This window comes from Homo sapiens, chromosome 16 (assembly GCF_000001405.40).
Source record: "Homo sapiens chromosome 16, GRCh38.p14 Primary Assembly".
In the NCBI taxonomy this organism is placed as follows: domain Eukaryota; kingdom Metazoa; phylum Chordata; class Mammalia; order Primates; family Hominidae; genus Homo; species Homo sapiens.
The window spans coordinates 59,972,110-59,998,373 of record NC_000016.10 but is presented as its reverse complement, the minus strand read 5'-3'; the positions used below and the strand labels follow the sequence as shown (position 1 = coordinate 59,998,373).

Genomic DNA, 26,264 nt, shown 5'->3' with positions numbered 1-26,264 from the left:
AAAAATACAAAAAATTAGCCGGGCGTGGTAGCGGGTGCCTGTAGTCCCAGCTACTCGGGAGGCTGAGGCAGGAGAATGGCGTGAACCCGGGAGGCGGAGCTTGCAGTGAGCCGAGATCGCGCCACTGCACTCCAGCCTGGGCGACAGAGCGAGACTCCGTCTCAAAAAAAAAAAAAAAAAAAAAAGAATCTTCCCAATGATAGTGTTTTAAATTACCTATCTTCCTTATAGTGTTTTGCCTAGTTCTTAAGCTTTTTCTCCAGCAATTCAGTGGCTGCTAGCTTTCAGTATGGTTTTGACTATTCACGTCCATTCCAGAAGACACATGCATGTAGTGATTTTTCATTTTCCTGGTGTTCAAATTTGAAATGTGTGAATTATGACGCCGAAGTTCAGGGAGAGTCCCTTGGTCAGAGAGTGAACCTGGATGAGCACTTGGACTCCAACTCAACATCCATTTTTGCTGTGGCAGCATTTAATCACTAGTTCTTGCTGAAAATATTGATTAATCAGGAAATTCTTGACTTAACGTAGAAATTTTTATGTTCCATTTCTCTCTGAAAACAATTATTGGAATTTAGAACACAAGTTTCTTGTATATTGAAGGCAACAAACTTTTAAGAAGAGCTGGCTTCATATTTTAGTTCTTATGTCCTCTTGTGTCACAGTGGGAAAACTTGTGTCCCAACCTTTAAATATAAACGTTATATTTTTCTTTTCCTTTCTTTTTTTAAAGATCCTCTAGTCTTTGCTTCTTAATACTTAGCATGGTTATTAGTTGATATTTTCTAATATAGCAGCAGAGTATCAATCATTATAAAACATGTCTAACCTAGAGGTTTTTAAAAGTTTTTTTCTGAAATCGCTACACTGTCTGCTGGGAATCCTTAATCCGATTTCAACGGGTTAACATTCTTTTTAAAGTCTAACACTTCTTATAAGACATGGGGTATAGAATAAGAAAGTCAAATCAAAAACTAAAAATTAATTTATCACTTTAATATTTCATTTTTCAGATATGTTTGTTTTCACAAAAGTATTCTAATTTTTAAAATCTGAAGAAAACAGACCCTCTACTCTTTATATGTGTTTTCCACTGACTTACAAGGAACAAGGAATCTGCTCTTTCAAAGCAAAGCAGGCCCTCTAGTTGTCTATAGGGATTTTGCTGCATAAAGATTATTTATTTTTCATCCCATCATTTTGTTCCCAAATAAATTCTATTCTATGATATAGAAACTTGTGGTCTGTGCATAATCACTCTTTTGGGAAAGGGGAATCAACTCCAAAGGAGAGGTAAAGTACTCTGAAGCACAGAGAATCATGATTTGGAAGCTTACTTGTATTTTACGTTGCATCACAGTTACTCTAAATTTGAAATAGGAGCCCATAGATTGGTTTGTGCTGTTGCTAGGTACACTTTCCTAAAATGTAACACTGCTAACTCTTCCTTTGAACTGTTCTGTTACTGAGAAGAGTAACACTGTTTAAGGTAAAATGAAAGGGGACTCAAGTAATATATTGATTATGAGGTTAAGCCACCAAATATCATAACATCTGCATGTGGAATTATAGGCAAGACCTTGAAAATGGAATATTAGCATGGATCCCATCATCTTTCCCCCCCCTTTTTTTTTCCAGTGTACAAAAATTGCCTGCTGGCTAGTCTCCTTGCCTCTAGCTTCGACCTAGTTATGGGAACATTGCCTATAGGACTTCTAGCAGGTACTATCTAAAAAGTAATGCTGACCATGTCATTCTTCTGTTTTCTTTGTGGTTTATTTTTTGAGTTTTTTTTTTTTTTAATTGTAATACCATTACAGTGCTTTGTGACTTTCAGCAGGAGACAGGCTGTTCCTCAACATGGCTTACAATGTTTCTCCATTATCTTGATCCTGCTTACACATCCTGCTTTCTAGTCTCATCTCCTTGCCTTAAAAATGTAAAAGTCAGTGCTCCACAATCCTCTTGCTGATCACTTTGCCCAGAAGTTCTGTCCCCTCCTTATCTCTTATGTTACTGTTCCTTTATTAGTATCTTAACTCTTTATAAATCATTTCAGGCCTGGCTTTTTCAGAATAGCTTTCCCTGGATTCCCCAAGATGGACTGAGTATCTATCATCAATGGTCGACATAATTTAGAAACTTTAAGACCTAAATGCAATATATTTGTCTGTTTTTTCCCTCCCCTCTGGAGTATGTACTTCTTGAAGAAAGGGATTGTTTTACATTTAAGTTTGTTTCTCTGCATCCAGCCTAATGCTTATCCCACAATAGCTATTTAGTAAATGTTTGCTTAAAGTTTGTGTAAGGTGGACAGGTGCTGTGTCTCACCCCTGTAATCCCAGCACTTTGGGTGGCTAAGGTGGGCAGATCACTTGAGTTCAGGAGTTCAAGACTAGCCTGGTGAACATGGTGAAACCTCGTCTCTACTAAAAATACAAAAAAAAAAAAAATTAGCTGGGCATAGTGGCAGGAAACTGTAATCCCAGCTACTCAGGAGTCTGAAGCAGAAGAATCACTTGAACCCAGGAGGTGGAGGTTGCAGTGAGCCAAGATTGCACCATTGCACTCCAGCCTGGGCAACAGAGTGAGACTCCACCCCAAAAAAAGAAAAAAAAATTATGTAAGGTAGGAAAATGATTGAGACTCAAAAATCTGCTTTTAAGTCCCATGCATGGTATTTTCTCCTTTATTCATTTATTTTTTTGACACAGGGTCTTATATTATCACCCAGGTTGGCATGCAGAGGCACGAACATGGCTGGACCTTCAAGGCTCAAGTGATCCTCCTGCCTCAGCCTCCCAAGTAGCTGGAACTACAGGAATGCACCCCCACACTCCGTTAATTTTTTGTTTTTGTAGAGATGGGATTTTGCTATGTTGCCAAGGCTGGTCTTGAACTCCTGAGCTCAAGCAATCTGCCTGCCTTGTCCTACCAAAGTGCTGGGATTACAGGCGTGAGCCACCATGTCTGGCCCCACAGTATTCTCAGTTGGCTTATGGGCATAGCCATCTAATGAGGCTCCACATTACTCTCCACTTGTCTGCAACTCTTTTTAGGTATCACTGCAGTGGAGTCTTCTGAAATCACAGGAAAAATGGTGTTAAGTACTCATAGGGCATCTCTTTGTTGGGCTGGAAATGTAGATGATTGGGTTCAAGTATTCTAACTGAAATAAAAGGATAAAGCACTGATTCCTTACTTGTCTTTCAAGATATCCCATATTTTCTCATCTTTTCCGAACCCATCTCCCACTCTTCAACTTATATGTTTTCGTCTGGATTTTTACGTGATCTGCAATCTCTCTCTACATCTTTGTTTCTGTGCTTATTCTTGTCTGCATTCCAGCCATGTCTTACTCTCTAATTTTTAAGGTCTTGTTTAATGTCTCATTATCATTGAAACCTTCCCTTATTTATTTCCCCAGCAAAATTGGAGTCTTTTTCCTTTTCAACTCAAATTGTGCTCTGTGCATAGTTGATAACATATTTTTAACATAATTAAAATTATGCATTTGTTTCTCCTATTCTAAATTGGAACATAGCTAGAGGAAGGGACCTATCTGAAGTAGTACAGTGAAATACTAAAAGCACATCCTTTGGAATCAAATTTAAATAGCAAAAGTGACTTTAAATTGTTTTGCATTTAACTACTTTCTTTTTTTGTTATTATTTTTTGAGTCTCAAGTTTTCTCTGCTAAAGTTGATATGATGGAACACTTTTCAGAATAAAAGCTCTAAATGAAGGCATCAATATTTGTGTAGCTAGAAAAATGAGATTTCATTTGACAACACAGAAAAGCCTACACTGAGAGCATGTCTGGTGATGCACAGGTAAAGAAAGCAACTGCCCTGGTTTGGCTTGGGAGTTTCCAGCATTTAATACTGAAAGGTCCACTTCCTAGGAACCTCCTCAGTTCCAGGCAAACTGTGATGGTTGGTCACCCTAGAGCTAGCCGGTATAGACATTCTTATAGATCTTTGAGAGACATAAACATAAGATTTTACGATTTATCAGATTATGAATAACAGAAGGATTAACTAGGGAAAGATTGAGATCAGAACAATCAAGTAGAAAAGTGCAGCCCTTTTTTGTGCTGCAAACCCAGCACAAATACTGGGTTTATGCAAACCCAGCCCTAAATACTGAAGCCATTCTGCTGGTAGAATGATGAATAGGTAGGACTTCAAAGGAATAATAAGCAGAATTTGGTGACTCACTAGATAAAAGAATTGAAGAGGAGGAATTACAACCTCAACAAATTAAATTAAGAATATTGCCAAGAAACAGACTGTGGATCATCATGGCGGATGGGAGGCAGGACTAGATTGCAGCTCCAGACAGAGCAGTGTGCGGAGGCTTGCATTGTGAATTTTAGCTCCAGATCAACTGCAAGAACAAACCAGCAATCCTGAATAGACCCACGGACCCTCTGAAGGAAGCGGACTGCTCCCGCAGGACCTGGGAGACACCCACGTGAGCGTGCAATGGCAAGAACATGGCTGTGAGTGCCCCAACTGCGGAAGTGGGAAAGGGAGACCCTTCTCTCCCGAACATACACCCTCACTGGAGAAGCTGAAGGTCTGTTTGCAGGAGAAGTTTCCGACTTTACCTGGAGCTGAGTCAATTTAGAGAGCTGAGGGAATTACACGAGTAGAGGAAGCAGCAGAAAGGCCCTGGGAGCTCACTGGGTCCCCAAGCAGGCCATTCCTTCCTGGCACCACAGGAATCCATCAGGAGGGCGGCCAGAGGAGCAGGGGGTAAAACTCCACAGGGAGAAGGAAATTGCCAGCTGAACTTTGTAACATTTTGAATGGGGCAAGAAGCCTCATGGGCAGTACTTGGGGGCGGGCACAAATCCAATGTGCAGACTCCACGGGTTGGAGAAGAAACAAGCCCCTTTCTTTCGCCACTGGGAAGCAGGGAGCCTGGGGCAAGCTTTCAAGCCTGTCTCACCCGCCTCCTGGAAACAGACTCCAGGCTGTTGGGGGCGGGGGCATGATGGGAGTGAGACCAGCCCTTCTGTTTGCATGGGAGCTGGGTGAGTCCTGTGACTGCTGGCTTTCCCCCACTTCCCTGATAAACCGGCGTGACTCAGCAGAGGCAGCCATAATCCTCGTAGGTACACAACTCCATTGACCTCGGATTCTCACTCCCATCCCCCACAGCAGCTGCAGCAAGACCCGCCCAAGGAGAGCCTGAGCTCAGGCACACCTAGCCCAACCCCAACGTGATGGTCTTTCCCTTCCCACCCTGGTAGCAAAAGACAAAGGGCATATAATCTTGGGAGTTCTAGGGCCCCGCCCACTGCTGGTCCCTCTCCATACTACTATAGCTGATGCTTTCTGGAAAGTGCCACCTCCCAGCAGGAGGCCAACCAGCACAAAAATAGAGCATTAAACCACCAAAGCTAAGAACCCTCACTGAGTCCATTGCACAGTGCCCCGTCACTTCTATCAGAACAGGTGCTGGTATCCAAGGCTGAGAGACCCATAGACGGTTCACATCACAGGACTCTGTGCAGACAACCCCCAGTACCAGCCCAGAGCCAGGTAGACTCCCTGGGTGGCTAGACCCAGAAGAGAGACAACAATCACTGCAGTTCGGCTCACAGGAAGCCACATCCTTAGGAAGAGGGAGAGAGTACTACATCAAGGGAATACCCCGTGGGAGAAAAAAATCTGAACAACAACCTTCAGCCCTAGAGCTTCCCTCTGACAGAGCCTACTCAAATGAAAAAGAACCAGAAAACCAACCGTGGTAATATGACAAAACAAGGCTCTTCAGCACCACTCAAAAATTATGCTAGTTCACCAGCAATGGATACAGAATTCAGGAGATTAGTTTTTAAGCTAATTAGGGAGGCACCAGAGAAAGGAGAAGCCCAATGCAAGGAAATCCAAAAAACAATACAAGAAGTGAAGGGAGACATATTCAAGGAAATAAAGAGTTTAAAGAAAAAACAACCAAAAATTCAGGAAACTTTGGACACACTTTTGGAAATGCCAAATGCTCTGGAAAGTTGCAGCAATAGAATTGAACAGATAGAAGAAATAAATTCAGAGCTTGAAGACAAGGTATGCAAATTAACCCAATGCAACAAAGACAAAGAAAAAGGAATAAGAAAATAAGAATGAAGCCTCCAAGAAGTCTGGGATTATGTTAAATGACTAAACCTAAGAATAATGGATGTTCCTGAGGAAGAAGAGAATTCTAAAAGCTTGGAAAAAATATTTGGGGGAATAAAGAAGAAAAACTTCCCTGGCCTAGCTAGAGACCTAGACATCCAAGTACAAGAACTGCCAATACCACCCATACCCCAATAATTTATGGAAAAAAATTTGCCAAGAAACAAGACAGAATTATCATCAGACTCATTTCTTGCTGAAGATGATCAGCTAAATATTCCCAGAATATTGAGACAATGAATATTATTGAACAGGAAATTGTGGAAAAACAAAATTTTTAAAAGAGTAATTGAAATTGGAGTGTCAGATTTTATTTTCAAGTAAATCAGACTGTACAACATTTTACACTTAGAGTGGAGAACATGTATGAATATGTCTGAAGAATATGTCAGTATGGAACATAGGAAACTAGCAAGGAAGCAGGTTGGGTTAGAGAGACTGTGCTCCAAAGTCTGCCTTTCAATTTTCATAATAAGTGATAACAATAATAAAAATAGTAAACATTCATTAAAACAGTCATAAACATGTCAGTCAATGTGCTAAACACAAAAGTTATCTTACACGTCAAACATATTTAGACATTAAGATCTATAATACTTGACAAAATACTTGGATTATTTCTATTTGAGGAGGGAGGAAACAGACAAAAGAGACAGAGGTTTGCTAGGAGGAAAATGAGATGGTCAAGAATACTATGCTTCAAAGTGGGCACATCTTCCCTCAACCATCATAGAATCAAAGACATGAGGCAGCCAGCAAGAGGACTTGACAGTAAAAGGGGGAAGCCATGCCAGAGACAGATTTGATATGACGTCACATATTAAATTATGAAGTGACTCTGAAGAAACACGTTTATCAGCAATGTTGTCTGTCAACAACTTAATGGGTAAAATAATCATTTCTGAATATTGAATTGGATTTCAAAATATAATACTTAAGATAATATCTCAAAGAGTTTTGTTCTTGTACATTAATTTTGGGATTACATTTGAAATCTTCTTCCTCAAATTTCACATTACAGATCAGAAAATGAAAGAATTATATTCGATAAAAAACACTTTTATAGTTAAATGTTAAATGCAGTTTGACTTTCCATCAAGATGCTATAACCTTTTTGAGAAAAACTATATGGAGTGGGGCTGAAATAATACTATTGAAATGTAACTATGGAAACAAAGCTGTTTTCCATGAAGTAAGTGCACTTTAGGTGTGTGGTGGAGAACTAAGAGAGTACATGATATTTAGGAATATCATGTCTTGATATTTAGGAATATCATGTCTTGAGAAAATTAACAAGATATAGCCCATTTATAGGACATTTTCTTTTTATTTAAGCATAGGAGAACCACTTGTCAATATTGTTCTTAAATCACTTCCAATATCTGGCATTAGGAATATTCAATAAATATTTCTATTATTTATGTGGAACTTTTTCATCCTATACAATGCAACTAAGGCTGAGAAGTTTTTACAGACAACCTGTAAACAATTAGGCAATTTAAGTCTTGAGAATAATCTTCTTAAAAACCACTTTAATTTGCTTATTCTATGAATGAGGAGACTAAACTTAAACTAACAGGGCACTTTCCAATTAAAAGGAAATCATTTTAACATATATTTAGATATAAATATCTATTAAGTTTCAGACATTGGATGTATAGCAGGGAACAGCATAAATGTATCAGTGGCCCTCATGGTCCTTACAGTCTGTATTGCTCAACTATGGCCACAAAAATGCTGCATATCATACAACCATCAAATCTCAGAATCACAACAGTATCTATACAGCACAAAAATATGGGGATTTGCTGGAAGTTGGCTGACCTAAGAGAGGTCCAGCTAAGTGGCACTGCTGATCTTTGATTGGCCCTCTCACACATCTCAACTGACCACTCATCAAGTTTGCTAGTTCTTTCTTCTGCCTGCTTAAAATCTACATTTGACTCCTCTGGTGGATTTTTCATTTCAGTTATTGCAGTTTTTAACTCCATAATTTCTATTGGGTTCCTTTTTAATAACTTCTCTCTTTATTGATATTTTCTATTAGATGAGACATTGTTTGTATACTTTCTTTTATTTCTGTAGGTATGACTTCCTTTAATGCTCTGAATGTATTTAAAATAGCTGACTTAAAATCAGAAAGATTTAAGTCCAACATCTGGGCTTCCTGAGGGACTATTTCTGTTAACTGCTTCTTTGCCTGTGCATGAGTTTTACTTTCTTAATTTTTTCATGTCTTGCAATTTTCTGTTGAAAATTGGATATTTTAAACAATATAATTTAACAAATATAAAAATCAGATTTTGACACTTACTCAGAATTTGCTCTTGTTGTTGTTGCTTGTTGTGTTATGACTTGCCTGAAGTCATAAGTCATAACTTGTGTGTGTGTGTGTGTGTGTGTGTGTGTGTGTGTGTGTGTCTAATGCAGTTGTTGTCAGTTCAATTTGTGGTCAACTAATAGGCAGGGATTTCCTCAAATGCTTGAAACCAATAAGTTTCAAATCTTTGCTAAGAGGTTTGGTGTGCATTTTGAGGCCTGCCTTCAACATTCAACTGGGTAGTTTACAAATTCACCTTAATTTTCATTTCTTGCTCATGCTGAGTCTCAAGATGAACCATAGGTGAGAAGTTATAGCCTTCTCAGGTGTTTCCTGAGAATGCACATTCTTGCACATGCACACAGTCTTCTAGATTTTCAGGAATCTGTCAGGGCTTTGCAAAGCTCCCTATGAACATCTCATTCAATTGCTTCTCCCAGCTGACATAAGCCACCTTAGTCAGCCATTAAATTAAACAGTTGCCTCTGATGGTTTGAAACAAATGCTCCCAGGGGAGAATGCTGTTTGTCCTGAGAAATCTCAAGGAAAGACAGCATTATGAATAGGGTCATCTAAGGAACCATCAGACAAGACAAATAATGATAATTCCCTGGGAATGGGACCTTGAAAGAGCTGCATCCCATTCTTCCCTCTCCAGTGGCTTTCAAGTTACTGGTTTTCCTGTGATTATGGGCAGTTAGTTTCCAAGGTTACCATGAAGCAGGAACTGGGGGGGTCATAAAAATAAGGTGAGCTAAATGTCATAAGGATTGCTGTTCCCATCAAGATTTAGCCATTTTTCTGGAACACATGCTTTCCAGAATGTTGCAACCTTTAATTTATAGGGCACTGAACATGTTGATAATGATAATTTCTTGCAGTATTCCTGCTGCTTTTGTGGAAAAGAGCAGAGAAGTTTTGGAGGTCCTCCATTCACCATTTTTGCTGACATTGTGTCTCACATATCTAGATGTTACCTGATTTAGGCTCTTCTCTACTTGTCATTTATCTTTCATCTGTGACTACTGGGCTTGTCTAAACATGTTCATCTCAGAGTGCTGGCAGAGACAAGAGGAAACATGAAAGCGTTTTTACAGCCTAGGGTCAGAATTGACACAATGTTAGGTATCAACAATTCACATTGCAAAGAGGGTAAATACAGAGATGTGTGATGGTTGGAGTTTCTACTGTCACAAAAATCTCATGGGTGAGACAAATGTTAAATAAGTAGCTCACTTGAGATGAGTGTTATGAACAAGAGATTATAGGGGGTGACGAGGGTTAGCTGGTTGGATGATCACTTGTACAGGCATATAGACTGAGCAAACCAGGAAATAGATATGATTAAATAGAACCGACTTAGGTTTGAAAGAAAGCGTTGTACTGTATTGATTTTAGGGTGAGCATGAGCAATATCATTTTAAGTTTGGAAAACCAAGATTCGCGAACATTTTTCAGGTTTACTTAATTTATTCTCTAACCTCAGCGACTGTCTAAATTTTCTCTCAACATACACAAGTGATATTCTGATACTTAGGAGGAATGGTATAATGAGAAAGAAAAAAACACTGCAAGTAAAGGGATCAAACCTCAAATCAAACATTTCACTGATGTCTCACCTTGGACAAGATTTTCACTTCTGGTGAATTTTATTTCCTCAGCCGTAAAGTGGAGGTGGTTATACAGGGTTATTGTGAAGCTCAAGTAATTTACTGTATGGGTAAGAGCTTTATAAAGCATTAGAGCATTATGCAAATACAAGAGACTCTTACTATGCTATAAACACAAGCGTGATATTGTCCTGCTGGCTTTATTGGCCAAGAAATGCTGTGTCTTGACTACGCATAAAGAAAAATAGGGAAAGATTTTACTAACAGCTTTTACCACCATCACCACCAAGTTCAGAATTGTACTGTGGACAGATTGCTACAATCTCATAAAGAGTTATAAAATTGCAGAGACGTAAGAGTGGTCCTTTTGGATGTAGTAATTCTCCCAGGTATGCTGACAATGCATGTAATACAAAAGGTTATAGTAATTTACTTCTGTACTACGGCATAACTTGGGTAGAATAGCTTTGACTTAACATCAAAACTATTACATTATTATCATTTTATAGCCTTTAAATAATAATGACTAATAAATATTAAAATACTGTATCATTATTATTTATAAATATTATATTTACAATATATAAATACCATTTATTATACCTGCACTTTTACTTTATAGTTTTGTACTACTAAAATTTATATAATACTATAATTACTGTTTATATTTAGTTTTCTAAATTACTGTAATAATAACAATGAATTATTATTACCACTTATTAAATATTATATGTGTCAGGTCCCTTATTAGACAAAGGTAATCCTTTTAATTACTCAACTGGGTATGAATTATCATTCTAAATTTATAGATTTTTAAATATAGAGACTTAAGAAGTTTAACGAGCACCTATAGTAAATGGCCAGGATGAAACTTAAACAAGATTGTCTGATTACTAAGTCTGGGCTCTTGAAACACCAGGACACATCTTTTTGTTCTCTGGTTAAAAGAATTTAAACCAAATCTCCTTGAAGTAATATATTTATTTTAACATAATATTATTTTCGATGTCTAACATTTGAAGCCTATTCCTATAACTTAAGGGACACTTTGACATATAGCTCTGAAGAAATACTGACATGGTAAAATGAAATCAAATAGAAATAAATTGGAATATTCCTGATTATGTTTTCACTAAAGCTCTCTATTAGTTGGTAAAGAAATTCTTAAAGGATCTCTGACCCTGCTCAGTGTTCATAAAGCACAGAAAAAAGACCACTTACCTTCCCTGAGACATACAGCTAAAGCATGTAGCCCCATTTCTCTGTAAGCCTGGGTCAAACTTTTAATATTTTAATATATCATATGCATTAGAGAGTGCCACATTTAGTGATTAGTCAAAGTTTACCTTAGAGAGGACAATGAAATCTGAGCAATGGAAACAAATTTATATACTGATATTTTTTATTTCAAAGAGATGAGTTTAGGCAAATAGTATATTTTCTCAGTTCCTTTTTAATGAGTGAACACACACACATGCACACACACACACACACACACACACACACACACACACAATCTATCTGCATAACATATTTGGAGCAAAACAACCTTTTGATAGCTCTTTTGGACTTAGGATTCTTCCCTGACTTTTAAAAAATTTTGGTAAAAAACGTGACATAAAATTTACCATCTCAACCATTTTTAAGTATACTGTTCAGTAGGGTTATGTACATTTACATTGTTGCCAGAACTTTTTCATGTTGTAAAATTGAAATTCTGTACCCATTAGACAATCACCTCCCACCTCCTCTCTAGCCCCCGATAACCACCATCTGATTTTCTGTTTCTATGAATTTGGCTACCTTAGATAGCTCATATAAGTGGAATTATATAGTATTGTCTTTTTGTGACTGGCTTATTTCACATAGCACAATGTCCTTAAGGTTCATCCATGTTGTAGTATGTGACAGGATTTCCTTCCTTTTTAAAGCTGAATAACATTTCATTTTGTTTATCCATTCGTCTGTCAATAGACATATGGGTTACTTCCACCTCTTAGATATTGTGACCAATGCTGCTATGAACATGGGTGGGCAAATAACTCTTTGAGATCCCACTTTATGTTCTTTTGCATATACACCAAGAAGTGGGATTACTGGATCATATGATAGTTCTATTTTGAATTTTTTTTGGAATTAACTTACTGTTTTCCATCATGGTTACACCATTGCACAGTCATGCCAACAGTGCCACAAAGGGTATGATTTCTTTACGTCCTCCTCAACACTTGTTATTTTGCATTACTTTTTATGGTAGCCATTCTAATGGTGTATGGTTATATCTAATTGTGGTTTTGATTTGCATTTTCATGATGATTAGTGATGGTGATCATCTTTTCATGTGCTTGCAGGTCATTTGTATATCTTCATGTGAGATATGTCTACTGAAGTCCTTTGCCCCCTTTTTAATTGGGTTATTTGGGGTTTCTTTTGGTTGAGTCATAAAAGTTCTTTTTGTATTCTGAATATTAGTTGCTCCCTAGATATATGATTTCCAAATATTTTCTCCTGTTCCATAGATTATGTATTCACTCCGATGATTTTATCTGTTGATATAGGTATTAGTCCGTTCTCACACTACTACAAAGAACTGCCTAAGACTAAATAATTGATAAAGAAAAGAGGTTAGATTCAGTTTCCTTATGGCTTGGGAAGCCTCAGGAAACTTATAATCATGGTGGATGGTGAAGGAGAAGCAAGGCACCTTCTTCACAAGATGGCAGGAAGGAGAAGTGCTGAGCAAAGGGGGAAGAGCACCTTATAAAACCATTAGATCTTGTGAGAACTCACTCAACACCATGGGGGAACCCGTCCCCCATAATTCAGTTACCTCCATTTGGTCTCTCCCTTGACAGGTGGGGATTGCGAGGCTTACAGGGATTACAATTCAAGATGAGATCTGGGTAGGGACACAAAGCCTAACCATATCAACATACAAAAGCTTTTTAAATTTGATATAGTCCGATTTGTCTAATTTTTGTTGTTGCCTGAGCTTTGGGTGTCATATTCAAGAAATCATCACCAGTTCCAATGTCATGAAGTTTTTTTCCCTGTTTTTTTTCTAGCAGTTTTATGTCTTACATTTGAGTCTTTTTATTTAATTTTTTTTTTGGGGGGTCAGAGTCGTCTCGCTCTATCACCGAGGCTGCAGTGCAGTGGTGTGATCTTGGCTCTCTGCAACCTCCACCTCCCAGGTTCAAGTGATTTTCCTGCTTCAGTCTCCCAAGTAGCTGGGATTACAGGTGCCCACCACCTTGCCTGGCTAATTTTTGCATTTTTTAGTAGAGACAGGGTTTCACCATGTGGGACCAGGCTGACATTTGAGTCTTTAATCCACTTTTAGTCGACTTTTGTGTATGCTGTAAGATAAGGATTCAACCTCATCTTTTTTAATTCAGATATTTCAGTTTTCCCAGCACAATTTTTTAAAGAGATTGTTTTCCTTCACTGAATGCTCTTAGTACTCTTGTTGAAGATCATTTGACCATATACTTAAGAGTTTATTTCTGGAATCTTTATTCTATTCCATTGGTCTATCTGTCTGTCTGTATGCCAGCTTTGATTACTGTTTTGATTATTGTAGCTTTGTAATATGTTTAGAAATCAGGAAGTGTAAGACCTCCAACTTTGTTTTTTCATGGTTGTTTTGGCTATTTGGGGTACCCAAATATTCCATATACAGTTCAGGATGGATTTTTCTATTTCTGCAAAATACACCATAAGATTTTGATGGGAATTATGTTGAACCAGTTCATCACTCTGGTAGTATTGATATCTTAACAATATTAAGTCTTCCAATCTATGAACACAGTACCTGACTTTTAAAAATTACAAGTATTTCATTAAAAGTGTACTTCTTATGGCAATTTGTTTTATTCATAATCTCATTGTCAAGGTCTTTGGAAAAATATTATAGTACAGCTAACATATGAAATATCACCCAAGTTTAAAATTCACTGCCTCATTTTGCATTATTTCTCCATTTGTAGCTGGCAGTACCACTATTAATGAAGCGAGTGACCTGAGATTCATTCTACATGACTTTAGTTTCTTATTCCGTACAACTCATTGTTCAATAGCTCTGCTGATACTGATTTATAAATGTCGCTCAAATTTCCATAAATTTCAAACCACAGCCAATGCTTAGTTTAATTCATCTTTCATTGCTGAAATCATAGTCACAGCCAGCAATAAAAATTTGAAGGCAGTCTCTCAATCCTCTAGTTTTGAGTCTATTCAAAAATGTTACCTCGTCATGCATCAAATACAAGATAAATTAAAAACGCTTGACCTACAAGACCCTTTATGATCTGGCTCTTTTCTATTTCTTAATTCACTCCTTCCAGTTTCCTATACTTCTGTCATAGATTTATTTACAGTTTTTGATAGTTCAGATTCCTCACTTTTCACTACCCTTGTACCTGATGTATCTTTTTCCTTGAATGCTCATTCTTTTCCTATATTATTCTGAAAATCTTCTGATTATTATTGAGTCTCAGATTTAGTAACTGTATAAAGGAAAGCTTGATGCTTCCATAGCATCTTTTCTCACATTCTAGGCTAGAAGTTATCTCTATACATGGTAATTGTTTCATTAGAGATTATTTTCCTGACCTTTGGATTCATTAAGCTGGGGTGGGGAAATAAAACAAGTACCTTTTCATAGCTCCATTGTCTGTGATAACATGAGGTGACTGAGGGAGAAGACGTAGAAACACAGCTTTAAATCTTGCTGTGCCCTAGCTATAGGTGACTCTCAGGAGAAGAAGTACTCTGTATTTGGAAAAAGGTTGATAAAGAACCCCAAGCCAAATGATGTCTCCCTTTCACATGAAGATTATCAGTAAATGTTGCTGAATATTTTACAAATTTAAAATTATTCAAATTGTTTTGGATTTCCACAGTCAAGACTATGTCAGTTATGATTTCATACATAGCAAAAAGCTATCTTATTATTCCTCCTAAGTGTTCTAATAATGGAAAGTATTTTCCATGGACAATGTACATAAATACTTTTTTATTACTGGCAAGAAATATTTATTAAGAAAAATTAACAAGGATTTATGTTTATAAACATTAGTGTTCCTTGCATCCAGTTAGTTTAAATGAGCCTCCCCTAAATCTGATGAACTATCAATGGTCTAATCAAGCCTTTCCCAAGATAAATTTGGAGAGAAGAGCAGAGCCTGGATCTTGGAATACCAATCAAGGTAGATTCTATTATGGTTTAGGCCTAACCATTTGGTCGGTTAGCATCATTTCTGAGCCTTTAGGCAAAATTTTTGCTTTTCCATACCAAATCAATTTTTGGTGTCTGCCTCATTCACATGGCTGTAATAAAAATCTTAACTTCTGTAATTAAACCTCCTCAGTTAATTCTGTTATTGTCTCTATAGTTTGAAATACTAGGATGGACAAAATATTTCTGATATATGTATGTATGTGTATATATATGTGTGTGTGTATATATATGCATATATATATACATTAGATATGTATACATTTCATATAGTGCCATTATACACGTAATATATATACACGCACATATATAAGGTTTCTATATATTACATATCATATAATAAAATTCTGTTTTTAACTTTCTTTTTTTTTTCTTTTTATTTATTTTTTTATTATTTTTTTATTACACTTTAAGTTTTAGGGTACATGTGCACATTGTACAGGTTAGTTACATATGTATACATGTGCCATGCTGGTGCACTGCACCCACTAACTCGTCATCTAGCATTAGGTATATCTCCCAATGCTATCCCTCCCCACTCCCCCCACCCCACAACAGTCCCCAGAGTGTGATGTTCCCCTTCCTGTGTCCATGTGATCTCATTGTTCAATTCCCACCAATGAGTGAGAATATGCGGTGTTTGGTTTTTTTGTTCTTGCGATAGTTTACTGAGAATGATGATTTCCAATTTCATCCATGTCCCTACAAAGGACATGAACTCATCATTTTTTATGGCTGCATAGTATTCCATGGTGTATATGTGCCACATTTTCTTAATCCAGTCTATCATTGTTGGACATTTGGGTTGGTTCCAAGTCTTTGCTATTGTGAATAATGCCACAATAAACATACGTGTGCATGTGTCTTTATAGCAGCATGATTTATAGTCCTTTGGGTATATACCCAGTAATGGGATGGCTGGGTCAAATGGTATTTCTAGTTCTAGATCCCTGAGGAATCGCCACACTGACTTCCACAAGGGTTGAACTAGTTTACAGTCCCACCAACAGTGTAAAAGTGTTCCTATTTCTCCACATCCTCTCCAGCACCTGTTGTTTCCTGACTTTTTAATGATTGCCATTCTAACTGGTGTGAGATGGTATGTCATTGTGGTTTTGATTTGCATTTCTCTGATGGCCAGTGATGATGAGCATTTTTTCATGTGTTTTTTGGCTGCATAAATGTCTTCTTTTGAGAAGTGTCTGTTCATGTCCTTCACCTACTTCTTGATGGGGTTGTTTGTTTTTTTCTTCTAAATTTGTTGGAATTCATTGTAGATTCTGGATATTAGCACTTTGTCAGATGAGTAGGTTGCAAAAATTTTCTCCTATTCTGTAGGTTGCCTGTTCACTCTGATGGTAGTTTCTTTTGCTGTGCAGAAGCTCTTTAGTTTAATTAGATCCCATTTGTCAATTTTGTCTTTTGTTGTCATTGCTTTTGGTGTTTTAGACATGAAGTCCTTGCCCATGCCTATGTCCTGAATGGTAATGCCTAGGTTTTCTTCTAGGGTTTTTATGGTATTAGGTCTAACGTTTAAGTCTTTAATCCATCTTGAATTAATTTTTGTATAAGGTGTAAGGAAGGGATCCAGTTTCAGCTTTCTACATATGGCTAGCCAGTTTTCCCAGCACCATTTATTAAATAGGGAATCCTTTCCCCATTTCTTGTTTTTGTCAGGTTTGTCAAAGATCAGATAGTTGTAGATACGCGGCGTTATTTCTGAGGGCTCTGTTCTGTTCCATTGATCTATATCTCTGTTTTGGTACCAGTACCATGCTGTTTTGGTTACTGCAGCCTTGTAGTATAGTTTGAAGTCAGGTAGTGTGATGCCTCCAGCTTTGTTCTTTTGGCTTAGGATTGACTTGGCAATGTGGGCTCTTTTTTGGTTCCAAATGAACTTTAAAGTAGTTTTTTCCAATTCTGTGAAGAAAGGCATTGGTAGCTTGATGGGGATGGCATTGAATCTATAAATTACCTTGGGCAGTATGGCCATTTTCACGATATTCATTCTTCCTACCCATGAGCATGGAATGTTCTTCCATTTGTTTGTATCCTCTTTTATTTCCTTGAGCAGTGGTTTGTAGTTCTCCTTGAAGAGGTCCTTCACATCCCTTGTAAGTTGGATTCCTAGGTATTTTATTCTCTTTGAAGCAATTGTGAATGGGATTTCACTCATGATTTGGCTCTCTGTTTGTCTGTTGTTGGTGTATAAGAATGCTTGTGATTTTTGTACATTGATTTTGTATCCTGAGACTTTGCTGAAGTTGCTTATCAGCTTAAGGAGATTTTGGGCTGAGACAATGGGGTTTTCTAGATATACAATCATGTCGTCTGCAAACAGGGACAATTTGACTTCCTCTTTTCCTAATTGAATACCCTTTATTTCCTTCTCCTGCCTAATTGCCCTGGCCAGAACTTCCAACACTATGTTGAATAGGAGTGGTGAGAGAGGGCATCCCTGTCTTGTGCCAGTTTTCAAAGGGAATGCTTCCAGTTTTTGCCCATTCAGTATGATATTGGCTGTGGGTTTGTCATAGATAGCTCTTATTATTTTGAAATGCGTCCCATCAATACCTAATTTATTGAGAGTTTTTAGAATGAAGGGTTGTTGAATTTTGTCAAAGGCTTTTTCTGCATCTATTGAGATAATCATGTGATTTTTGTCTTTGGCTCTGTTTATATGTTGGATTACATTTATTGATTTGTGTGTATTGAACCAGCCTTGCATCCCAGGGATGAAGCCCACTTGGTCATGGTGGATAAGCTTTTTGATGTGCTGCTGGATTCGTTTTGCCAGTATTTTATTGAGGATTTTTGCATCAATGTTCATCAAGGATATTGGTCTAAAATTCTCTTTTTTGGTTGTGTCTCTTCCTGGCTTTGGTATCAGAATGATGCTGGCCTCATAAAATGAGTTAGGGAGGATTCCCTCTTTTTCTATTGATTGGAATAGTTTCAGAAGGAATGGTACCAGCTCCTCCTTGTACCTCTGGTAGAATTCGGCTGTGAATCCGTCTGGTCCTGGACTCCTTTTGATTCGTATGCTATTGATTATTGCCACAATTTCAGCTCCTGTTATTGGTCTGTTCAGAGATTCAACTTCTTCCTGGTTTAGTCTTGGGAGAGTGTATGTGTCGAGGAATTTATCCATTTCTTCTAGATTTTCTAGTTTATTTGCGTAGAGGTGTTTGTAGTATCCTCTGATGGTAGTTTGTATTTCTGTGGGATCGGTGGTGATATCCCCTTTATCATTTTTTATTGCGTCTATTTGATTCTTCTCTCTTTTTTTCTTTATTAGTCTTGCTAGCGGTCTATCAATTTTGTTGATCCTTTCAAAAAACCAGCTCCTGGATTCATTAATGTTTTGATGGGTTTTTTGTGTCTCTATTTCCTTCAGTTCTGCTCTGATTTTAGTTATTTCTTGCCTTCTGCTAGCTTTTGAATGTGTTTGCTCTTGCTTTTCTAGTTCTTTTAATTGTGATGTTAGGGTGTCAATTTTGGATCTTTCCTGCTTTCTCCTGTGGGTGTTTAGTGCTATAAATTTCCCTCTACACACTGCTTTGAATGTGTCCCAGAGATTCTGGTATGTTGTATCTTTGTTCTCGTTGGTTTCAAAGAACATCTTTATTTCTGCCTTCATTTCGTTATGTACCCTGTAGTCATTCAGGAGCAGATTGTTCAGTTGCCATGTAGTTGAGCGGTTTTGAGTGCGATTCTTAATCCTGAGTTCTAGTTTGATTGCACTGTGGTCTGAGAGATAGTTTGTTACAATCTCTGTTCTTTTACATTTGCAGAGGAGAGCTTTACTTCCAAGTTTGTGGTCAATTTTGGAATAGGTGTGGTGTGGTGCTGAAAAAAATGTATATTCTGTTGATTTGGGGTGGAGAGTTCTGTAGATGTCTATTAGGTCTGCTTGGTGCAGAGCTGAGTTCAATTCCTGGGTATCCTTGTTGACTTTCTGTCTCGTTGATCTGTCTAATGTTGACAGTGGGGTGTTAAAGTCTCCCATTATTAATGTGTGGGAGTCTAAGTCTCTTTGTAGGCCACTCAGGACTTGCTTTATGAATCTGGGTGCTCCTGTATTGGGTGCATATATATTTAGGATAGTTAGCTTTTCTTGTTGAATTGATCCCTTTACCATTATGTAATGGCCTTCTTTGTCTCTTTTGATCTTTGTTGGTTTAAAGTCTGTTTTATCAGAGACTAGGATTGCAGCCCCTGCCTTTTTTTGTTTTCCATTTGCTTGGTAGATCTTCCTCCATCCTTTTATTTTGAGCCTATGTGTGTCTCTGCACGTGAGATGGGTTTCCTGAATACAGCACACTGATGGGTCTTGATTCTTTATCCAATTTGCCAGTCTGTGTCTTTTAATTGGAGCATTTAGTCCATTTACATTTAAAGTTAATATTGTTATGTGTGAATTTGATCCTGTCATTATGATGTTAGCTGGTTATTTTGCTCGTTAGTTGATGCAGTTTCTTCCTAGTCTTGATGGTCTTTACATTTTGGCATGATTTTGCAGCGGCTGGTACCGGTTGTTCCTTTCCATGTTTAACGCTTCCTTCAGGAGCTCTTTTAGGGCAGGCCTGGTGGTGACAGAATCTCTCAGCATTTGCTTGTGTGTAAAGGATTTTATTTCTCCTTCGCTTATGAAGCTTAGTTTGGCTGGATATGAAATTCTGGGTTGAAAATTCTTTTCTTTAAGAATGTTGAATATTGGCCCCCACTCTCTTCTGGCTTGTAGGTTTTCTGCCAAGAGATCCGCTGTTAGTCTGATGGGCTTCCCTTTGAGGGTAACCCGACCTTTCTCTCTGGCTGCCCTTAACATTTTTTCCTTCATTTCAACTTTGGTGAAACTGACAATTATGTGTCTTGGAGTTGCTCTTCTCGAGGAGTATCTTTGTGGCGTTCTCTGTATTTCCTGAATCTGAACGTTGGCCTGCCTTGCTAGATTGGGGAAGTTCTCCTGGATAATATCCTGCAGAGTGTTTTCCAACTTGGTTCCATTCTCCCCATCACTTTCAGGTACACCAATCAGACGTAGATTTGGTCTTTTCACATAGTCCCATATTTCTTGGAGGCTTTGCTCATTTCTTTTTATTCTTTTTTCTCTAAACTTCCCTTCTCGCTTCATTTTATCTTCCATTGCGGATACCCTTTCTTCCAGTTGATCACATCAGCTCCTGAGGCTTCTGCATTCTTCACGTAGTTCTCGAGCCTTGGTTTTCAGCTCCATCAGCTCCTTCAAGCACTTCTCTGTATTGGTTATTCTAGTTATACATTCCTCTAAATTTTTTTCAAAGTTTTCAACTTCTTTGCCTTTGGTTTGAATGTCCTCCCGTAGCTCAGAGTAATTTGATCGCCTGAAGCCTTCTTCTCTCAGCTCGTCAAAGTCATTCTCCATCCAGCTTTCTTCCGTTGCTGGAGAGGAACTGCGTTCCTTTGGAGGAGGAGAGGCGCTCTGCTTTTTAGAGTTTCCAGTTTTTCTGTTCTGCTTTTTCCCCATCTTTGTGGTTTTATCTACTTTTGGTCTTTGATGATGGTGATGTACAGATGGGTTTTTGGTGTGGATGTCCTTTCTGTTTGTTAGTTTTCCTTCTAACAGACAGGACCCTCAGCTGCAGGTCTGTTGGAATACCCTGCCGTGTGAGGTGTCAGTGTGTCCCTGCTGGGGGGTGCCTCCCAGTTAGGCTGCTCGGGGGTCAGGGGTCAGGGACCCACTTGAGGAGGCAGTCTGCCCGTTCTCAGATCTCCAGCTGCGTGCTGGGAGAATCACTGCTCTCTTCAAAGCTGTCAGACAGGGACATTTGAGTCTGCAGAGGTTACTGCTGTCTTTTTGTTTGTCTGTGCCCTGCCCCCAGAGGTGGAGCCTACAGAGGCAGGCAGGCCTCCTTGAGCTGTGGTGGGCTCCACCCAGTTGGAGCTTCCAGGCTGCTTTGTTTACCTAAGCAAGCCTGGGCAATGGCGAGCGCCCCTCCCCCAGCCTCGCTGCTGCGTTGCAGTTTGATCTCAGACTGCTGTGCTAGCAATCAGCAAGACTCCGTGCGCACAGGACCCTCCGAGCCAGGTGCGGGATATAATCCCATGGTGTGCCGTTTTTTAAGCTGGTCGGAAAAGCGCAGTATTCGGGTGGGAGTGGCCCGATTTTCCAGGTGTGTCCGTCACCCCTTTCTTTGACTCGGAAAGGGAACTCCCTGACCCCTTGCACCTCCCCAGTGAGGCAATGCCTCTCCCTGCTTCGGCTCGCGCACGGTGTGCACACCCACTGACCTGCGCCCACTGTCTGGCACTCCCTAGTGAGATGAACCCAGTACCTCAGATGGAAATGCAGAAATCACCCATCTTCTGCGTCGCTCACGCTGGGAGCTGTAGACCGGAGCTGTTCCTATTCGGCCATCTTGGCTCCTCCCCCTGTTTTTAACTAACTTTCAATATCTCCTTACTAAAGAAAGCCTTAGTGAGTTGAGGCTGAGTTAATGGGCTTTATCAAAGGCTCATCTTTGAACAGTGGTCAAATAATCTTTAATCAATGGTTTCCAGGACTGTTCTGATTTATTTCTGTTTCCCATTTGACTCTGTGTCTCATGTCATTTGTTTTACCTGCAATATTCAATGATACATGTATTGTGAGACTATTTCAATCTCTTCAACTTCAGTTGTTCAATGTTTATGAGTTTAAGTCGAAGATTTTCAATTGTACTTTTATTTCTCTTACTCAGCCTGTTGCAAACTGGTTACCACAAATATCCATGCTGAGCTGACTTCCCAATGTCTAGTGTAGAAAATGCCTGCTGCAATTTACCCTTCTACTTGTGGTTGAGTTCACGCTGTTCTGAGAACCCTCTGATGTTGAAGTGGCTGCTGTAGATTCTGACTGGAGCAAGAATGACTTCTAAGTTGTATGTGACCTAAAAACAGCTCCCCTACTGAACAGAAGATACTGACTTTTATGTTTCCCCCGTATGGCAATATCAAACATACTGTTTGTCAGTAGCACCCTTTGTCTTCCCTGTACAGCCATTTCATGCTTTCCTCTTTGCAGCATACTCATTCTAGAATGCTATTTAACTATGTTTTTAGTTAATAAATGTCCAGCCAAATGGATGAGTAGATGAATTATTCCAGACATGAGCTGGTAACATGTTAATATGTTCCTTTGCGGCTTTGTTGAGCTTAACTGTGGTGAATTTTATATTCTTTCAGATTTAAAATAAGCCCAGCCTCTGTTTTTAAAAATTATGTATAATGGGAAAGTATTTGATCATTTTCAAATGAGATATGCCAATCACTAGACAATAATTCTAAGTAGACATTCATACAAAAATGATAAATATCTGTATTTAATGAATAAGAACAAAAATCTTAGGAAAACAGAGCACCAAGGATATCAAAGATTAATCTCCAGTAATTTGGTGTTGACATAGCTGAAGAATAATATCACTATTGACTGAAACATATAATGTCCTTAGCGAATAGCTTGTCAGGACTAATATAATCAAATACAAAATTGATACAAGGAATCATGACCCTACATCTCAAACACCACTCTGGGCTTCTGCCACCCAGAGGAAAGTAATTAATTAATTTCAGCTGGAGAATGTCTTCTTGTCTGTAATTAACAATATGTGCACCTACCACATTCTAATCCTCCACTGTGCTGAGGAAGTACAAGGTGATTAGTGAAGGCAAATTGCAAACACACCTCTTGGTTGCTTCTTCTTCCACCTCAAACTCTCTCATCCTCCCACCCCATCCGACTTCCCTTGTCAAGTATTAAATGGAATTTTTAAAATTAATTAAAACATAAAATATGTATTTTATTTGTTTTCTCACGTAGGTATTTTTACTTTAGGTTTATATCTTGAATCATAAACTTTAGTGTGAACTCCATTTTGGTTTATTAATACAAGAAGTGTTTAAAGTGTTCATAAAATGCATATTCCACATAGTCTGTCATCTTTCATTTTTTTATTTTAATTTTTAATTTTTTTTTTTTTTTGAGATGTGGAGTCTCGCTCTGTCGCCCTGGCTGGAGTGCAGTGGCACAATCTTGGCTCACTGCAAGCTCCGTCTCCCAGGTTCACGCCATTCTCCTGCCTCAGCCTCCCAAGTAGCTGGGACTACAGGGGCCTGCCACCACGCCCGGCTAATTTTTTGTATTTTTAGTAGAGATGGGGTTTCACTATGTTAGCCAGGATGGTCTCCATCTCCTGACCTCGTGATCCGCCGGCCTCGGCCTCCCAAAGTGCTGGGATTACAGGTGTGAGCCACCACACAGAGCCTCATCTTTCATTTTTAAAGAGATTTTTTAACTTCTAAAGTATTTAAAAGTGATATTTATAAATGCATGGTAAAGATGTAACATGTTTGCTTTATTCACAATTGTGGCCTTGAATCTCTGCAAAGTAGCCAGCACAATAAAATAATTAAGTTAGTGGAAAAATCAGCAAAGTGCAATAACGCAAGTTTGGTATTACAGCAGAACTTTTAACTTCGGCTTTGCCACTTCTTAGCAGTGTGCCTTTGGGCACATACTTAACTTCTCTGTAATTTTCTTACCATACCCATGAAAAGCAGACATCGAATGCTAATAATATGGCAAGCACATAATTATAGATATATTTAAATATAACTATTAAATGTAGATACAGTAGTTTCCCCTTAACCACAATTTTGCTTACCTCAATTTCAGTTACTCCCAGTCAACCATGGTGTGAAAATATTAAATGGGAAATTCCAGAAATAAAGAGTTCTTAAGTTTTAAATTGCACACTGTTCTGAGTAACGTAATGAAATCTCATGCCATCCTGCCCAATCCTGCCCAGGATTTGAATCAGCCTCTGTCCAGCGTATTCATGCTGTAGATGCCGCTCCCTGCCCATTAGTCACACAGTTATATCATTCCACAGCACCACAAGAAAATAACAGTGAGTACAGTACAATAAGATATTTAGAAAGCAAGAGACCACATTCATACACCTTTTATTACAGTATATTGTTATAATTGTTCTATTGTATTATTAGTTGTTGTTAATCTCATTACTATGCCAAATTAAACTTTCTCATAGGCATGTATGTATGGGAAAAGCATAGTATATGTAGGGTTCAGTGTTATCTGTGGCTTCAGGCATCCCCTGGGGGGGGTCTCGGAATATATCACATGAAGATAAGGGGGAGCTACTATATTTACAAATGGACATTTAACTGAATAAGTTACACGCATACCAAATCAAATATGTGCAGAAAAATATGTTCCATATCCAACTTCCACCAGGAAGTTGCAAATTAAAACCATGGTGAGATACCACTACATGTCTGTCAGAAGAGCTGAAATAAAAAATAGCAAAATGCTAGAAAGGATGTAGAAAAAATGGATCTCTCACACATTCCTAATGAAAATTTAAAATAATACAGCCACTCTGAAAAACAGTTTGGCATTAAAAAAAAACACATATGTACTATATGATAAAATAATTGCACTTTGGGGTATTTATTCAGAGAAATGTATACTCTGTCAACACAAAAACATGCGCATTAGTGTTTTTCTGTGATAACCAAAAACTGCAAATAACTCATCTATCCTATCCTTCAATTGGTGAATGGTTAAACAACCTATGGTATATCCATACCAGGTAATACTACTTAGCAATGAAAAGAAATAAACTATCAACACATACAACAACATGGATGGATCTTGAGGGAGTTATGCTGAATAAAGAAAGAGCTGATATCAAAAGATTACATAGTATATAATTCCATATAGTATTCTTATAATTACAAAATAAAACCAGAGAGCAACTTAGTGGTTTTGTACTTGAAGAATCTTTATGTTGATGGAACAGTGTTTTGATTGAGGTGGTTACATAAATTTATGCCTGTTAAAAATGCATGGAAAGACACACACACACACATACACACCCCTGTATACAGATGAGTATAATAAAACCAGAATAAGCTTTGTGAATTGTAACGATGTCAAATTCCTGATTTTGATATTGTATTATACTGTGTATTATAAAATGTTACCATTTAGCGAAATTAGCTGAAGAGTACAAGGGAACTGCCTATACCATTTGCAACTTCTTGTAAATATATATTTTTTAGAGTTAAAAATATATTTAAGGCACATAGCCTAGAGCATGGAACATAGAAGTAACTAAATAATTGTTATTATTTGCATCACTAGAAAACAAGGTTCCAGCCCCAGATATACAATTTATACATTTTGCCTCAATGAAAATTTACCTAGCTTCCTTTTTCAAAAAAATGTATGCAATGATAAGAGCAATAATTTCCCTGCCTATCTCAGTGAGTTCTTATAAGATGAAATTAGGTCTGTTTTTAAATACCTTTTTTCTATTATACTGATTTAGTCACCAATAAAAATGTTAGTGATTAGTCCGTGCTTGGCTTGCCTCAATAAAATATACCAGTGTCTGCCATTTTACTTTTCAGTTTTCTGGATGAACTATTATTTTAAACTTACTTATGAAAGAGAAATACATTCTTTCTCCCTCTCCCTCTCTCCCCTTCTCTGTTTCTCATATATATATGAAAACGGGCTTTTATAAAAGAGTTTGTGAAACTTATTTTATTATTATTATTATTATTATTATTATTATTATTTTGAGATGGAGTCTCGCTGTGTTGCCCAGGCTGGAGTGCAGTGGCACGATCTCGGCTCACTGCAAGCTCCACTTCCCAGGTTCACGCCATTCTCCTGCCTCAGCCTCCCGAGTAGCTGGGACTACAAGCGCCTGCCACCACGCCCGGCTAATTTTTTGCATTTTTTAGTAGAGACGCAGTTTCACCAAGTTAGCCAGGATGGTCTAGATCGTCTGACCTCGTGATCCACCCGCCTCGGCCTCCCAAAGGGCAGGGATTACGGGCGTGAGCCACCTTAT

The 26,264-nt window shown here is 38.2% G+C and overlaps 1 long non-coding RNA gene across 1 annotated transcript in view; it reads right to left on the bottom strand.

Annotated features, from left to right (window-relative positions):
• Window positions 1-26,264, bottom strand: part of LINC02141 (long intergenic non-protein coding RNA 2141) — a 198,621-nt gene that overhangs the window by 55,600 nt on the left and 116,757 nt on the right. The window lies entirely within an intron of this gene.